This window comes from Homo sapiens, chromosome 11 (assembly GCF_000001405.40).
Source record: "Homo sapiens chromosome 11, GRCh38.p14 Primary Assembly".
Lineage (NCBI taxonomy): Eukaryota > Metazoa > Chordata > Mammalia > Primates > Hominidae > Homo > Homo sapiens.
Genome location: NC_000011.10, coordinates 18,852,263 through 18,870,786, shown reverse-complemented (window position 1 = coordinate 18,870,786; position 18,524 = coordinate 18,852,263). Strand labels below are relative to the sequence as shown.

The window sequence follows — 18,524 nt, the reverse complement described above, 5'->3', positions numbered from 1 at the left end:
ACCTCCACCAAGTCTGAAAAAAAATAATTTACTTAAGTTTCAATAGAGTTTACATTATTTCTACTGCTTACACTTTAGAATGTTAATTTTATGGGACTAAGGGATTAAAAGAGTGTGAACTACAAGGTAACATTTTCCACTCTTGAGTTTTCTTTTTTTTTTTCCTTTTTTTTAAATTATACTTTAAGTTTTAGGGTACATGTGCACAATGTGCAGGTTAGTTACATATGTATACATGCGCCACGTTGGTGTGCTGCACCCAGTAACTCACCATTTAACAGTAGGTATATCTCCGAACGCTATCCCACCCCCCTTCCCCCACCCCACAACAGTCCCCAGAGTGTGATGTTCCCCTTCCTGTGCCCATGTGTTCTCATTGTTCAATTCCCACCTATGAGTGAGAACATGCTGTGTTTGGTTTTTGGTCCTTGCAATCGTTTGCTGAGAATGATGGTTTCCAGCTTCATCCATGTCCCTACAAAGGACATGAACTCATCATTTTTTATGGCTGCATAGTATTCCATGGTGTACATGTGCCACATTTTCTTAATCCATTCTATTATTGTTGGACATTTGGGTTGGTTCCAAGTCTTTGCTATTGTGAATAGTGCTACAATAAACGTACGTGTGCATGTGTCTTTATAGCAGCATGATTTATAATCCTTTGGGTATATACCCAGTAATGGGATGGCTGGGTCAAATGGTATTTCTAGTTCTAGATCCCTGAGGAATCGCCACACTGACTTCCACAATGGTTGAACTAGTTTACAGTCCCACCAACAGTGTAAAAGTGTTCCTATTTCTCCACATCCTCTCCAGCACCTGTTGTTTCCTGACTTTTTAATGATCGCCATTCTAACTGGTGTGAGATGGTATCTCATTGTGGTTTTGATTTGCATTTCTCTGATGGCCAGTGATGATGAGCATTTTTTCATGTGTCTTTTGGCTGCATAAATGTCTTCTTTTGAGAAGTGTCTGTTCATATCCTTCACCTCCTTTTTGACGGGGTTGTTTTTTTCTTGTAAATTTGTTGGAGTTCATTGTAGATTCTGGATATTAGCCCTTTGTCAGATGAGTAGATTGCAAAAATTTTCTCCCATTCTGTAGGTTGCCTGCTCACTCTGATGGTAGTCTCTTTTGCTGTGCAGAAGCTCTTTAGTTTAATTAGAACCCATTTGTCAATTTTGGCTTTTGTTGCCATTGCTTTTGGTGTTTTAGACATGAAGTCCTTGCCCATGCCTATGTCCTGAATGGTATTGCCTAGGTTTTCTTCTAGGGTTTTTATGGTTTTAGGTCTAACATTTAAGTCTTTAATCCATCTTGAATTAATTTTTGTGTAAGGTGTAAGGAAGGGATTCAGTTTCAGCTTTCTACATATGGCTAGCCAGTTTTCCCAGCACCATTTATTTAAAAGGGAATCATTTCCCCATTTCTTGTTTTTGTCATGTTTGTCAAAGATCAGACAGTTGTAGATATGTGGCATTATTTCTGAGGGCTCTGCTCTGTTCCATTGGTCTATATCTCTGTTTTGGTAGTAGTACCATGCTGTTTTGGTTACTGTAGCCTTGTAGTATACTTTAAAGTCAGGTAGCGTGATGCCTCCAGCTTTGTTCTTTTGGCTTAGGATTGACTTGGCAATGCAGGCTCTTTTTTGGTTCCACATGAACTTTAAACTCTTGAGTTTTCTACTTTGTCTTTGAACAGAAAATAATCATGGACTTAGAAAACCAAACCCACACACAGAGTGGGATCAAGCCATTGCAAGCCCTGAAAGACCCTATGATCTACTTTAGTTTTTAGTTATAAAGCCTCACAAAACAAGCTCACGTTGCTTGACATTGATACCTAGGCCCATAATAAATTGTAAAAGTTCAAAACAGCAATTACTTACAGGAAGTTGAATGAGATGGGATATGATGAGAGAGGCAGATATGTATTAATAATGGGACAGAGGCCAAGAAACATCTCAGTTAGGGATCGTGGCTCAAACAGCTCTGGCTTCTGATTTGCCTGCAATCCTCATACAGGAAATCACATGCTGTCTGTATCTTCATAAACCTGGGTTGGTTGCCAGTTCTCATTCCAGCTCTTGTAGGCATCTCCTAAATGACACAACACAGAATAGTGCTCTGAAGTCACGGAATCCCAGAAAGGCTCTACCCCTTTAGCAAGGGGCAGCTCTTTATCTTTGGACTTGAAGAAGGAGGAAAGGTAAGGGTATGTACCAAGAACTCTCTTCTTTCCACAGCAAGTTATTGTTTCTGCTATAAGTTCACAAACCTGTGTTTCCACCTTGGGGTTCTGCATACAGAAGTTCATAAGTTTCCTTCAAGAAAAGGCAGGAGACATGAAGCTTCCTTCTAGAAACTGAGTGCTGGCAGCCCAGACTGCGGGAGTTTCAAATGGGGTCAGCAGAGCTTTCTCCCTCTGATCCATCTCTCCATATCACCCCCTTTATTCCAACTATTCAATCTGCTTTCATGGAGATAATGATGCTTTTTAAATTCATTTAAGGAGCAAGGGGATATGCAGGCATTCCTTCCTACAGCTGAGCTGTGGTTAAGGGGTCTTATTATTTTACTTACTTTTCAAAGTTATTCTTCTTTGCCTATCTGGAAAGGTCTAAGGAAGAAACAGATGGTCCAAAATGAAATAAATGAGGAGTGTTTCATGAGGGGACTATGTACAAAGATGGACAGGGTTAAGGGGAAAAGACAATGCCTAGGGAAGCACCCTAAATGGCAATGGTGTAGCACTACTTCCTCCCCTAAGCTTAAAGGGACAGGGAAGGAGCAGTTACCATTGAGAGCACAGCCATAGCCATAGCTGTAGCTGTAGGGTTGGGAGAGGATGAGCAGGCAGGTGGAGAAGCCCTGCATCACCAACACACAGTCACAAAGGCAGAGGCCCAGGAGGTGAAAATTCCAAATCACTCCCCTCCTGCCTTCCAGTCTCCTACCAGTGTCTCTCAGTGTCTCAGTTCAACCAGAAACCAAAAGGAAAAGAATATCACTGATGAGGTACAGAGAAGCCACCCTCTTGGGATGTCAAACAGGGTAGAGAAGATTGGGAAGCAAATCCTCAAGGCAAATGAAACTATCCCACTCACCTTTTTATATCTTCCTCCTACCTCCTGGGGTTTTCTCTCTCTAAATCTCATTGAATCATGTCTCATTTAATCTCTATCAGAGTTTTTTTTATGTTTGGAAATTCTTTCTCTATTGTCGATTTTATGGAGAAATACCTGCATTTATCAAAAATGCCTAGGAAGTGAAATGTAATTTTAAAAAGAGAAAACATATTCCTTTTTGTTAGAATGTAAGTTTGGCTGCTCTAAAAGAAACACGAAGTAGGAATATCTTAAACAAGAAAGTACAGTTGTCCCTCCATGTCAGTTGGTTCTGAATCCCTAGATTCAACAAACCACAGGTAGAATATATTCCAAAAAAAGGAGGACAGGAGTAGCTCTATAGGTACTGAACAGGTACAGACTTTTCTTTCTTGTCATTATTTCCTAAACAATACCATATAACAATTATTTACATAGCACTTACATTTTAATAGGTATTATAAGTGATCTAGAAATAATTTAAAGTATAAAGGAGAAAGTTCATAAGTTATATTCAAATACTACATCATTTTCTATAAGGAAATTGAGCATGGGCAGATTTTGGTGTGTGCAGGGGTTCTAGAACCAATCCCCTGTGGATACTCAGGAGTGACTGTATTTAAGACCTGAGCTGGAGGCTCCAAGGCATCAGACATTAGGACTCCAAAAATTGCTGCTCCCTAATGTCTAGAGAGTTGCCCTCATTCTTGTGGTCCTACTGCCTGCCAACCACCTCAGCATTCCAGCCTGATGGAGAAGGAAGAGGGGAAGGGAAGGCTGTGCTCCTTCTATTGATCCCATGAGCCAGGACTTGCTTACATCACATCTTCTTACTTCCCATTGACCAGAACCTGGTCATACAATGTCATCCAGCATCCAGGAAAACTGGAATGTGTGTCCTTGTGCTGCTTTTAAATGCTCAGAATTGTTGTTTGACTGAAAAGGAAAATGGATATGGGGCAATGGAGTAGGCTCTAAAGCTCCTGATTATCTCAGATTCTATGCTCACATCAAGATTTTTCAGGAGGTCCTCAAAAATAATGATTGATGAAGCAGAAAACAGTAGAGAAGTCTCATGCAGGGCTCCATGGACCAGGAGCTTATACTGGATCTGCTCTTCATAGTGTGATCTCAGGAAGATCCTTTGATTCTTTAAGCCTCAGCAGCTTCTTGTGTCATAGGAGGATATTACAATAGATGGTCTTTGAGGAACACAGGCTAAATGCTGGCAATACTACAGTGAACCAGAACAGGCATAGCTTAGTTTTTATGGAGCTTCAGGTTTTGTAAGGAAGACAAATATATCATATCCTAAAAATAAGCGGACAAACTCTTAATCTTAAGTGTCCTCAATGTGGTTAACAGAGGTTCTGGTTTTCCGTTAATTTCCTTTTCAGGACAACGAAGGCTGTGGCAGCTTGTATCTCTAAGAGAGCTCAGGATGGATGCATCCACTCCTGATGCTCCTTTGTACTCCCAGAGGAGGGTGTGTCTTCTTTCCACCTGGAGGCCTCCAGCCCCTGTGCATCCTTGGCATTCCAGAACAAAGGCAGCCTTTGTGATGCAGAAAGGAGCTCCTCAATTTGTTCCTAATTGGTTTTCACTCAACTCTATTTGGTTCCCTATTTGATTTGCTTCTCATTCTCTATCTGGAGTTTGTTTAGGTTAGCTTTTTTTTTTTCAGTCCAAACTTTTGACTGCCAACTTGGGTTAAATTTGAGAGTCATTCCTCTGCCTTCCCCCTCTATCATGTATAATAGACATAGAGTGGTGCTGGGTCCAAAGGGCTGGTGAAAAGGGTAGACCTTGAGGCAGCTCTGCTGGGTCCAAATCCGCACTGTGTAAGACCAGGGACAAATAACTCACTCTTTTTGTGCTCTAATTGCATTCTCTGCCATATAGGAATAATACTAACTCTTACCTCCTAGGCTCTTGAGAGCATTAAGACAATCCCTAATAAACTCTCAATCAGCTGCTGTTTTTCAGCCAGATATGAGCTAGTCCTGTTTCACCAGTTGAAATCTACATGAACATCTCTTTTTTCATTCCAAGCGCTGAACTCCTATTTCCTCTCATGGACTCCTCTCATACAAATGTTTGCATCAACAGAGAAAGTCTACCAAAGATCTCCTGTGAGACAGAATCAAGTTGTTTTGCACTGTGTACACCCAGCAGAACACTTAGGAGTCCTCCAAAGATATTGCTACATTTCAATTACCTCTTTCAGCGGCACTCAGACCTCACCCACGCTTACTCTTTCTTTTTCTATATTGCTGAGCAGTTCAGCTCAGACCACACCCTACCCCAACACTGTGTACAAAAGAGATTCTAGGGGCTCAGCAAAGCCACACTGAGTCCTCATTTCAAAGGCACATCAGTAGTCAACTTCAGGTATTTGGGCACATATCAGTAATGCCTTTTAACACAGACGGAACAAATAAAATTCTGATGAATGAAATTTTTACATCTCATTATATGTGGGTGTTCCAACACCTTTAATTGTGTTTTTATTTTTATTTTCCTTTTAATCCAAAGCTATCACTACCATTAGGCTCTTCATTCATGCATTTATTCACTGAATGAATATTTACACAAAACACAGTGTGTTCCACATGGAGCTAGGCACTGGGGATATAAAAGTGCTCCTCTCTGTAATGACGGACACACACTGAGCCATTCCTAGCTCACCAGGCCCAGTCATCATCACACTTGTCCTAGCAAGACGTCACATTTTCCTCATGTAAATAATGCCTAACCTTCATTTTCATCCATGATGACCACTTTTATCATGAAGGTGTCCACCTCTTTATCCAAACTCCTACACTCGAGAGAAAATTTCTGACCAGGACCGAGTAATGCTTGGATCCACAGCCCTGGCCAGTTGAGTGGGGATGTTTTCATCATAATGTTATTCCCATGTCAGTAGAGAAATTGTGTTGCAATAGAGAGAGCCCAGGCTTTAGAGTCACCAAGAACTGGATTTGAAACTGGAGTTCAGCACTCCTCACCTTTTGACAGGTGGCTTATTCTCTGCAAGCCTGTTTCTCTCCTCTGTAAAATGGGGACAATAATTCTCATATAATAGAATGTATGTGAAATCAGAGATCACACAGCTGCTGATCACATCTTTTTTGTGTTCCCAGGGGCACCAGACTAGGGTTTCTGTGCATGGATCCAACCATCCCAGCCTTGGGTACAGAACTGACATCAATCAATAGGACCGAGGAGACCCATCTTCAACATTGTGGCATGGAGATCATGATCCTCATGTTGCTGCTCCTCATCGTTGACCTGGTCCAGCTGGCAGGAAATGCAGTCATTTCCTCTGGCTCCTGGGATTCCGCCTGCACAGGAACACCTTCTCCCTCTACACCCTCAACCTGGCCGGGGCCGACTTCTTCCTCTGCTCCCAGATTTTAGAAATTGTGAATTTCTACCATGACTTCTTCCTTTCCATCTCCACCTATTTCACCACTGTGATGACCTTTCTCTACTTTACAGGCCTGAGCATGCTGGGCTCCATCAGCACCAAGCACTGCCTGTCCATCCTGTGGCCCATCTAGTACCGCTGCCACCACCCCACACACCTGTCAGCAGTCGTGTGTCCTGCTCTGGGCCCTGTCCCTGCTGCAGAGCATCCTGGAATGGATGTTCTGTGGCTTCCTGTCTAGTGGTGCTGATTCTGTTTGGTGTGAAACATCAGATTTCATCACAGTCACATGGCTGATTTTTTTATGTGTGGTTCTCTGCGGGTCCAGCCCGGTCCTGCTGGTCAGGATCCTTTGTGGATCCCGGAAGATGCCCTTGACCAGGCTGTACATGACCATCCTGCTCAGAGTGCTGGTCTTCCTCCTCTGTGACCTGCCCTTTGGCATTCAGTGATTCCTATTTTTCTGGATCCACGTGGATTTGTCACGTTCGTCTAGTTTCCATTTTCCTGTCCACTCTTAACAGCAGTGCCAACCCCATTATTTACTTCTTCATGGGCTCCTTTAGGCAGCTTCAAAACAGGAAGACTCTCTAGCTGGTTCTCCAGAGGGCTCTGCAGGACACGCCTGAGGTGGAAGAAGGCAGATGGCGGCTTTCTGAGGAAACCCTGGAGCTGTCATGAAGCAGATTGGGGCCATGAGGAAGAGCCTCTGCCCTGTCAGTCAGACGGCACTTTGAGAGAAACACTGCCCTGCCACCTTGACAATTATATGTGTTTTTCTCATCTTTCTGCCTCAGAAATGCCTGTGATTCCCTCAATATCTTCAAATAGTTTTATTTTTAATCTCACATTTCTAGTTTTACTCAGAGAAATCATTAATTTGAAAGTACACTGTTTAGATCCTTCTTCCTATTACCAACAAATTTCCCCTGTTATCTTCCATTAAATTTTTCTTACTGAAAACTTTCACGTTCAACTTTTATGGGAATGGAAAGAATTCCTGTCTAAAACTGGAAAACCTTTTTTTTATAACTATTTCCTACCGGACAGTATCCAAGGGAAAATTCCTTATCTTTCTCTCGGACTATGTTCACCTAAAAACCATGTTCCCTTCTATGATTAGGGGTATTGCTGCAGGGAGGAAGCTCATTCTGGATAAGTGAGTTCTGCTGCCTCTGAATTTCATTGAATTCTCAGATACAGGGGAAAATAATGTCCTTAGAGACAGATTCTCTGTATTCATAAAAACAGTCTAGGAAATTGGTTTTATGGAAAGTCCTGTGCTGTCATTTGTCCATGGCACAGTGACATGTTGGCCTTGGTTTCAAGTTAAGATAACCACAGCTCCTTCCCCTTCAGAACTAGTAAGTGCTTATTTAGCTTTCCTGGACAAAGGGACGAGTGTAGAGTCTACAAATATGCCCCATGAGTTCTAATTTGGCCATTTGCAACCTCAGTATTGGTTTCAATGTAGAAATTATCTTAAAACCATTTATTATTTGCTGACAGATTCCTTCAATTATACAGGAATTCTGGATACTTCCCATTTTTGTACAAGTTGTTCTGGCTGTAACTTTCAGTTAGTTTCATGGCCAGTCACTATCAGAAGCAAGATTGAAGGTATTTGACATTTCCATGATAATGTCAATTACAGTATCTAGATAATAGCTTAGCATTGCAACATAATTCTGATACATGCTGCAATACAGATGAACCTTGAGAACATTGTGCCAGACACAAAAGAACAATATTGTAAGTTCAAATTTTTCCAGTATCTAATCTAGGAAAATTGATGAACACAAAAAATAGATTAGGAGGAACCTGATGGTGATGGATGGGGAGAATATGAAATCATTATTTAATGAGCACAAAAATTTTTGTTTGGTAACAGTTACATCTCATTGGCAATGTACTTAATGCTACTGAGTTATACACTAAAAAATCGTTAACGTAGTAAAATGTATGTTACATAAATTTTACCACAATTAAAACCATTTCATTATGAAAACTTAGGATCAGTACAAACTCAGGACTCTTCTCTGCCATTGGTTATTCTTTCCACAGGTAACTCAAGCAGACAGAAGAGACCACCAAGAGAAGACGGGACATCACAGTGGGCTCTGTGCTGCTCACAGGCAGTGAGGATGCCCCTCAGATTGACCCTCACAGAAGGGAGCTGACAAATGCAATTTGAGTACTCAGGAGACAGTATAAAGTAGCTATGAAAGTGGTAAAGAAGTCTATTGTTTTCCATTTTTCCAAAAAAAAAAATGCATCAATGGCTCTTATAACACTGTTCAGCATATAGAACTCAGGCCTTCTGAATCCAGATTGATTGCTCTTCCAGGCCGAGCTCTTTGCTGATTCTGTATCCTATATGTGCACGCTTGATTTATAAACACCATAGTAGGACTTGGCTGTATGTGAGGGTTCTTGCAGGTCAGAGGAAGCAGGAAGACAGTGCTTGCAGCCAATGCTCCAGGCATGGGGTTTAGATGTGATGTCATCAGTTCAGAATGGGGGTTACTAGGAGAGTCCACCCTGAGAGTTTGTGGTATCATCAATTGCACAGCTTCAGCTAACAATTTTGTCCATAATGAGGAGCCCTGGAGCGAAATTTCACCTGAAAATTGAACCAAAGACTGTTGGCTCTCTCTGGGCAACTGGTTATTTTGATTTCAGTAATATTCCTTTTCCTATTCACTGTAAGAATACTTTAAGTTCATATAAGATATCATATTATCTTCTAACCTATATGCCAAATTTACAAACTTCTTTCAGGCATACCCCATGTTCTCATTCTTGGTGACTTCAGTATCCATGGAGGTAGTTCATACAATGAACTGACCTTTTGGTTGTTTTTTAACTTTTCATTCTCAATGAATTGTAGACTAACAAGAAGTTACAAAAAAATGGAGAGTTCCTGTATACCCATCAACCAACCTACAGCAGTAATGACATGTTACATAAATGTATTATCAAAACAATGAAATTAATATTGGTACAATACAGTTATCTACAATACAAATCTTATCAGATTTCACCAGTATTTACATGCACTCATTTTTTTAGGAGTGAGATACACCTTTGCGTATAATTCTATAACATTTTGATCCCTCTCTCCACCTCCACAGGAGGAAGGGTCCTCTGTACACTTGGAGGCCTCCTGCACCTGTGAGTTCTCTGGATTCCAGAGCAATGGCTGCCTTTCAGGCAGAAGAGGGCCCTTAGATTCTGCTATCTATTCCTAATTGGCTTCGACCCAGTTCTCTCTTGTTCCTTATTTAATTGGCTTCTTTTCTCTGTTCCTGGAATTTGCTCATGCTTTTTTTTCATGCACAATTTTGACTGTCGTCTCGGATTTAACTGGGAATTACTTTGCTACCCACTCCAATTCATGTGTAAGTGATACACAGTGGTGCTGGGTCCAAAGCACTCGTCAAAAACATGGACCCTGAGGCAGTCTTGCTGGGTTCAAATCCATACTATGTAAGACTAGGAACAAATAACTCATCTGTTTTGTACTCCAATTCCATTCTCTCCAAAATGAGAACAACACTGATTCTTACCTCACAGGCCTCTGAAAGGATTAAAAAACAGTACCCAGTAAAATCTCAATCTGCTGCTGTTATTCACCCGGATGGGAGTTATATCCTCTCTCTAGTGGAAAGCTGTAGGAGTACCTCTCTCTGCATTCCAAGCCCTGCACTTTTTCAACTTCCCCTTATAGACTCCTCTCACAGAAAAGCTTTCATCAGCAAAGAAAACTCTGCTCAAGATCTCCTGGGAGAAGGAATGGAGTAGGTTTATATTATACACACCACAGCACATCACTTAGTAGTCCTTCATAGATTCTCCCATAACTCAAATACCTCTTTTCAGTGGCACTCAGATCTCACCCTCATCCTCTTCCTCCTCTATTTTGCTGTGCTGCCATATTAAAGGTTCCCTGGTAAAATTCTTCATCTCCTTCCATTCCAATTCCATTTTCATTTCCACTGTAAGGATCTTTTCCTGCATCACAGGCCAATATGCCCAGTGCCATTAGCACCAAGTGTTGCCTGTCCATCCTGTGGCCTACCATCTGGTATTACTGCAGCCATGCAGGATCCCTGTCAATGATCATGTGTGCTCTTCTCTGGGCCCTATCCCTGCTGCTGAAATTCCTGGAGGGTTACTACTGTGCTGTATGTGTGCCACATTTTCTTTATCCAATTAACTATGGATAGGCACATTGATTTCATGTCTTTGCTATTGTGAATAGAATTGCAATGAACATACAAGTGCAGGTGTCCTTTTAGTAGAACGATTTATTTTCTTTTGGATATATACCCAGTAGTGAGATTACTGAATCAAATAGTAGTTCTAAGTTATTTGGGAAATCTCCGAACTGCTTTCCACAGTGGTTGAACTAATTTACATATCCTCCAACGACTTATAAGCATTCTCTTTTCTCTGCAGCCTCACCAGCATCTGTTGTTTTTTGCTGGAGGGCAGCAGCATGATCTCGGCTCACTGCAATCTCCGCCTCCCAAGTTCAAGCGATTCTCTACCTCAGCTTCCTGAGTAGCTAGGATTACAGGCACCCGCCACCATGCCCGGCTAATTTTTGTATTTTTAGTAGAGACGGGGTTTCATCATCTTGGCCAGGCTGGTCTTGAACTCCTGATCTCATAATCCACCCACCTCGACCTCCCAAAGTGTTGGGATTACAGGCGTGAGCTACCGCACCCTGCCAGTTTTTTGACTTTTTAATAACAGCCATTCTGACTGGTGTGAGATGGTATCTCATTGTGGGTTTGATTTATAATTCCGATGATTAGTGATGTGGAGCATTGTTTTATACTTTTGTTGGCTGCTTGTACGTCTTCTTATGAGAAGTGTCTGTTCATGTCTTTTGCCCATTTTTTCACACAGCTATTTGGTTTTTGCTTGTTGAATTGCTTAAGTTCCTTATAGATTCTGGATATTAAACCTTTGTCAGATGTGCAGTTTGTGAATATTTTCTCCCATTCTGTAGGTTGGCTGTTTAATCTGTTGCTAGTTTCTTTTGCTGTGCAGAAGCTCTTTAGTTTAATTAGGTTCCACTTGTCCATTTTTGTTTTTGTTGCAATTGCTTTTGACAACTTACTAATCAATTATTTCCCAAGGCTGATGTCCAGAATTATGTGTTTCTTAGGTTTTCTTCTATGATTATTACAGTCTGAGGTTTTACATTTAAATATTTAATCCATCTTGAGTTAATTTCTGTATGTGGTAACAGGTAAGGATCCAGTTTCATTCCTCTGCGTATGGCTAGCCAGCTATCTCAGCACCATTTATTGAATAAGGAGTCCTTTTTCCATTGCTTATTTCTGACAATACTGTGGAAGATCTGAGGGTGATAGGTGTGCAGCTTTGTTTCTGCATTCTATATTCTGTTCCATTGGTCTGTGTGTCTGTTTTTATACCAGTTCCATGCTGTTTTGGTTACTCTAGGCTTATAGTATAGTTTTTAGTCAGGTAATGTAATGCATGCAGCTTTGTTCTTTTTGCTTAGGATTTCTTTGGCCATTTGGACTCTTTTTTGATTCTTTATGAATTTTAGAATAGCTTTTTATAAATTCTTTTTATTTTCTGTGAAAAATAATGTTGGTAGTTTGATAAGAATAGTGTTAAACTTGTAGATTATTTTGGCAGTATTGTCATTTTAACACTATTGATTCTTCCAATCCGTGAGAATGAAAGTACTTTCCACTTGTTTGTGTCACCTATGATTTCTTTTAGCAGTGTTTTGTAGATCTCCTCATAGATAGCTCTCATATCTTTGATTAGATGTATTCCTAGGTTTAATTTAATTTTTCATGGCTATTGTAAAGGGGACTGCATTCTTGATTTAGCTCTCAGCTTGAACATTGTTGATGTATAGAAATGCTACTAATTTTTGTAAATTGATTATGTGTCTTGAAACTTTACTGAAGTCATTTATCAGTTCTAGGAGCCTTTTGGCAGAGTTTTTAGGGTCATCTAGATATAGAATTATATCATCTTCAAAGAGAGATCGTTTGACTTCTTCTTTTCCTATTTGGATGCTCTTTATTTCTTTCTTCTGCCTAATTGCTCTGGCTAGCACTTCCATTACTATGTTGTCTTGTTCTTGTCTTGTTCTGGTTCTCAAGGGGAATGCAACCAGTTTTTGCCCATTCAGTATGATGTTGGCTGTGGGTTTGTAATACATGGTTCTTATTATTTTGAGGTATATTCCCTCAATGCCTAGTTTCTTGAGGGTTTTTATCATGAAGGGATGTTGAATTTTATCAAAACCTTACCCACATCTATTGAAATGATCATATAGTTTTTGTTTTGAATTATGCTTATGTGGTGAATCACATGTGTTGATTTCTGTATATTGAAACAACCCTGCATCCCAGGAATGAAGCCTACTTGATCATGGTAAATTAACTTTTGATGTGCTGCTGGATTTAGTTTGCTAGTATTTTGTTGAGGATTTTTGTTTGCTAGTATTTCGTTGAGGATTTTTGTGTCTATGTTCTTCAGGATGTTGGCATGTAGTTTTCCTTTTTCATTTTGTCTCTGCCAGGTTTGAGTATTGGTTTGATACTGACCTCATAGAATAAGTTGAGGAGGAGTCTCCTCAATGTTTTTGGAATAGTTTCAGTACTATTCGTACCCACTCTTTTTGTACATCTAGTATAATTCAGCTGTAAATCATTAGACAGATGATCAAGGCAGAAAACTAACAAAGAAATTCTGGACTTAAACTGGACACTTGACCAAGTGGACCTAATAGAGATCTACAGAATACCCCCCCATCAACCATGGCATATACATTCTTCTTGTCCACACATAGAACATACTTTAGGATTAACCACATGCTTGGCCATAAAGAAAGTCTCCAGGGCTTTTTTGGTTGGTAGGCTTTTTTATTACCACTTCAGTTGTGGAACTCAAATTGGTCTGTTCAGGATTTCAATTTCTTCACGATTCAATCTTTGGAAAGAGTGTGTTTCCAGGAATTTACTCATTTCCTCTAGATTTTCTAGTTGTTGTGCATAGAGGTATTCATAATAATCTCTGTGGATATTTTGTTTTTCTGTGGGATCAGTTGTACTGTCACTGTTGTAGTTTCCAATTATGAACATTTGGATCTTCTCTCTTTTCTTTGTTAATCAAGCTTGTGGTCTATTGATCTTGTTAGTCCTTTCAAACAACAAACTTTTTTTATTACACTTTAAGTTTTAGGGTACATGTGCACAACGTGCAGGTTTGTTACATATGTATACACGTGCCATGTTGGTGTGCTGCACCCATTAACTCATCATTTAACATTAGGTATATCTCCTAATGCTATCCCTCCCCCCTCCCCCCACCCCACAACAGGCCCCAGTGTGTGACGTTCCCCTTCCTGTGTCCATGTGTTCTCATTGTTCAATTCCCACCTATGAGTGAGAACATGCGGTGTTTGGTTTTCTGTCCTTGCAATAGTTTGCTGAGAATGATGGTTTCCAGCTTCATCCATGTCCCTGCAAAGGACATGAACTCATCGTTTTTTATGGCTGCATAGTGTATATGCCATGGTGTATATGTGCCACATTTTCTTAATCCAGTCTATCGTTGTTGGACATTTGGGTTGGTTCCAAGTCTTTGCTATTGTGAATAGTGCCGCAATAAACATACATGTGCATGTGTCTTTATAGCAGCATGATTTATAATCCTTTGGGTATATACCCAGTAATGGGATGGCTGGGTCAAATGGTATTTCTAGTTCTAGATCCCTGAGGAATCGCCACACTGACTTCCACAATGGTTGAACTAGTTTACAGTCCCACCAACAGTGTAAAAGTGTTCCTATTTCTCCACATCCTCTCCAGCACCTGTTGTTTCCTGACTTTTTAATGATCACCATTCTAACTGGTGTGAGATGGTATCTCATTGCGGTTTTGATTTGCATTTCTCTGATGGCCAGTGATGATGAGCATTTTTTCATGTGTCTTTTGGCTGCATAAATGTCTTCTTTTGAGAAGCGTCTGTTCATATCCTTCGCTCGTGTTTTGATGGGGTTGTTTGTTTTTTCTTGTAAATTTGTCAAACAACGAACTTTCTTTTTGTTGTTGATGCTTTGTATGGATTTTTGGGTCTCAATTTTGTTCAGTTCTGCTTTTATTTTAGATATTTCTTTTCTTCTACTGGCTTTAGGATTAGTTTGTTCTGGTTTTCCTAGGTCTTTTAGGTGTGATATTGGATTGTTAATTTTAGATCTTTCTAACTTTCAAGGTAGGGGTTTAGCACTACACTTTCCTCTTAATGCTGCTTTTTTTCCATCCCAAAGATTTTGGTATGTTGTGTCTCTGTTTTCATTTATTTCAAAGAAATTTTTGATATCTGCCTTAATTTCATTGTTTACCCAAAGGTCATTCGAGAGCAAGTTGTTTAATTTCCATGTAATCATGTAGTTTTGAGAGATCTTCTAGGTATTAATTTCTATTTTTATTCCACTGTGGTCTGAGAGTATCGCTGGTATTTCAATTTGTTTGAATTTATGGAAACTTTCTTTATGGCCAAGCATGTGGTTAATCCTAAAGTATGTTCTATGTGTAGATTAGAAGAATGTATATTCCATGGTTGATAGGTGGAGTGTTCTGTAGATCTCGATTAGGTTCAATTGGTCAAATGTCCAGTTTAAATCCGTAATTTCTTTGTTAGTTTTCTGACTCAGTGATCTGTCTAATGATGACAGTGGAGTGTTGAAGTTCCCCACTGTTATTGTGTGGCTGTCTAAATCTTTTTGTAGATCCAGAAGTACTTGTTTTATGAATCTGGATATTCCAATGTTGGGTACACACATATTTAGGATAGTTAAGTCCTCTTATTGAATTGAACCCTTCGTTATTTTGTAATGCCCTTCTTTGTCCTTTCTTACTGTTGGTGATTTAAAGTCTGTTTTATCTGATACTAGAGTAGTTACCACTGTTGTTTTTTGTTTTTCATCTACATGGTAGACCTTTCTCAAACCCTTTACTTTGAGGATATGGGTGTCATTATGTGTGAGATGGCTCACTTGAAGACAGCAAATGAATGGGTCTTTTTTAATCTAACTTGCCACTCTGTTTCTTTAAAGTGGGACACTTAGACCATTGTTAATTTAAGACCTTTCTAACTTTTGAGGTAGTTGTTCAGCACTATAAATTTTCCTCTTAATGCTGCTTTTGCTGCATCCCAGAGATTTTGGTATGTTGTGTCTTTGTGTTCATTTATTTCAAATAATTTTTTGATATCTGCCTTAATTTCATTGTTTACCCAAAGGTCATTCAGGAGCAAGTTGTGGGCATTTCGATCATTTGCATACAAGTGTACTGGGGGCATTTAGACCATTTACATATAAGGTTAGTATTGATGTGTGATATTTTGATCTTGTCATTAAGTTGTTAGCTGGTTGCTTTGTAGTTTCTATTGCGTGGTTGCTTTACACAGTCTGTGGGCTATGTGCTTAAGCGCGTTTTTGGTGGTAACATGTATCATTTTTTTGTTTCCATATTTAGAACTCCCTTAAGGATCTCTTGTAAGGCTAGTCTAATGGCAAAAAAATTCCCCTAGCACTTGCCTATATGGAAATTATTTTCTTTCTCCCTTGCTTATGAAGCTTAGCTTGGTGGGATATGAAATTCTTGGTTGAAATTTCTTTTCTTTAAGAATGTTGAAAAAAGACCCCCAATCTCTCCTAGCTTATAATATTTCTGCTGAGAAGGCCACAGTTATCCTGATTGGGTTCCCTTTGCATGTGACCTGACCTTTTCTTTTTGCTGCCTTTAAGATTTTTTTCTTTGGCATTGATATTTGGACAATCTGGTGACTATATGCCTTGATGATGTTTGTTTTATATAGTATCTTGCAAGTGTTCTCTGGATTTCTTATATCTGGCTGTCTACCTCTCTAGCCAGATTAGGGAAATTTTCTTAAATTATTTTCTCAAATATTTTTCCAGGTTCTTTACTTTTTCTCCTTCTCTGTCAGGAAGGCCTATAATTTATAGGTTTGGTCACTTTCCATAATCTCACATTTCTTGAAGACTTTGTTCACTTTATAAAATTCTTTTTTCTTTATTTTTGTCTAACAGGTTAGTTGAAAAGAGCAGTCTTCAAGCTCTGAAATCCTTTTATCTGCTTAGTCTAGTCTATAGATAAAGCTTTCAATTATATTTTGAAAATCCTTAAGTGAGATTTTCAATTCCAGAAGTTCTGATTGATTTATTCTTAGGATGTTTATCTCTTCCTTCATTTTCTGGATTGCTTTAGAAGTATCTTTGTGTTGATTTTCAACCTTGTCTTGGATCTCACTGAGCTTCCCTGTGATCAATGCTTTGAATTCTTTATCTGTCATTTCTGAGTTTCCATTTTGGTTAGAGACCATTGCTAGAGATCTAGTGTGATCCTTTGGTAGTGTCACAGCATTCAGATTTTTCATGGTGCCAGAATTCTTATGCAGCCTCCTTCTTATCTGGGGTTGCTGGCATTTCTAATTTTGGTAATTATTTTGATTTTTTTCCGTCTTCATATGTAATATTATTGGGGTTTTTTTTTTTCTTTCCCTTTCCCTTTCCCTTTCCTCTCTCACTAGGGGATGGGACTGCAGAGAATGCTGAGTAGGATTTTTGGCTTTGCTTCTATAGCACTATGCACATCTGTTGGCAGGTTTTATATTAGGTTGTGCAGTTCAACCTACAAGCCAGTAGATGGCACTTACAGGTAAGAGATGGCTGTGGCCAACAATGCTAGGTATGTACTTGATTCTTTCTTACTGAGAGAAATTCCCTATCGCCTCACGCTGTGGGCTGCTTCCTAAAGTGCACAGTGGTTTGAGCTCCCTGTTCAGCCCCAGGAAGGCAGAGACTAAGATGGGTGGGAGCCGAGATGGATGGAGACCAAGATGGGCAGAGCCCAATCATGCAGTTCCACCTACGGGTCACCCAGTAGGAGACACACACACCAGCATCCAGTGGGCAGCCACCAAGTGCCCTGAGGTGTGCCTAGGTGTGGAGCTGGGAAACCTCCTTGGCCCCAAGTTCTCTGCATAGGGATGGGGGTGGCCTAAACTGCTAATCCAGAAGAGTAGGTGTCCCAGATGCCTGGAGGTCTACCTGGGCATAAAGTAGAGAGGGCCTCACTGTATCATAATCTATGTCCAGGAAGGGTGGGATAGCTCAGCCTGCTGAAACAGAAGAGCAAGTGCTCCAGATGCCTGGAGGTATACCTGGATGTGATGCAGTGAGGGCCTCCACGAACCAGGATCTCTGCACAGGAAGGGTGGGGCTGCTCAGGTTGCTAATCCAGATGAGCGGGTGCTCTGAATCCCTGGAGATCTACCTGGGCATGGAGCAAAGAGGGCCTTGCTGTACCTTGATCTATGCCCATGAAGGGTAGGGTAGCTCAGGCTGCTGGTCCAGGAAAATGGGTATTCTAAATACCTGGATTTCTGCCTGGATATTGGGCAGAGTGGGCCCTGCTACACCACAGTCTCAGGGGAGCAGGCTGGAGTACCCAGAAATGACACATGCAGACTGGTTCCAGATCACCAAGCTGGCGCTGGCCCTAGTCTCACCACCTAGGAGAAACTGCAGCTGTATCAGCTCTCTTGCCACCCCAGGCTTGTGATGGGGGAAAGCACAATTCTAGCACCTACTGCTGAGGCATTTTCCACAGTTCTGGCCATAGAGGCTCCTAACCTGCTCCAGAGTAAGGACTCCAATCTCTGGCCTGAGACTAAAATGCCTGTGTGGCCCCACTGCCAGATCGCTGAAGAATGGCCTTCAACATAGTACCTGGGTATTGTTGATGGTTATTCAGGGCCCAAGGGCTCTTCAGTTAGCAGGTGATGAATGGTGCCAGGACTAGGTTTTTCCCTTCAAGGCAATGGGTTTCCTCCTGGCCCCAGGGCATATCTAGAAAAATCACCCAGTAGCCAGGGCCTGGTAAGAGGGCCTGATGACTC

At 40.6% G+C, this 18,524-nt stretch overlaps 1 pseudogene, besides 3 other annotated features; it reads left to right on the top strand.

Annotated features, from left to right (window-relative positions):
* Window positions 4,391–4,941: an enhancer, noted in NCBI's record as "OCT4-NANOG hESC enhancer chr11:18887393-18887943 (GRCh37/hg19 assembly coordinates)". NCBI's record gives its function as "activates a minimal SCP1, AML or CMV promoter by ChIP-STARR-seq in primed H9 embryonic stem cells {active_cell/tissue: H9 hESC(primed)}" and the evidence as "EXISTENCE:reporter gene assay evidence [ECO:0000049][PMID:30033119]".
* MRGPRX7P (MAS related GPR family member X7, pseudogene) lies at window positions 6,063–7,241 on the top strand (annotated as a pseudogene).
* Window positions 17,155–17,204: an enhancer, noted in NCBI's record as "active region_4514". NCBI's record gives its function as "activates an Ori minimal core promoter by ATAC-STARR-seq in GM12878 lymphoblastoid cells {active_cell/tissue: GM12878}" and the evidence as "EXISTENCE:reporter gene assay evidence [ECO:0000049][PMID:35858748]".
* Window positions 17,425–17,554: an enhancer, noted in NCBI's record as "active region_4513". NCBI's record gives its function as "activates an Ori minimal core promoter by ATAC-STARR-seq in GM12878 lymphoblastoid cells {active_cell/tissue: GM12878}" and the evidence as "EXISTENCE:reporter gene assay evidence [ECO:0000049][PMID:35858748]".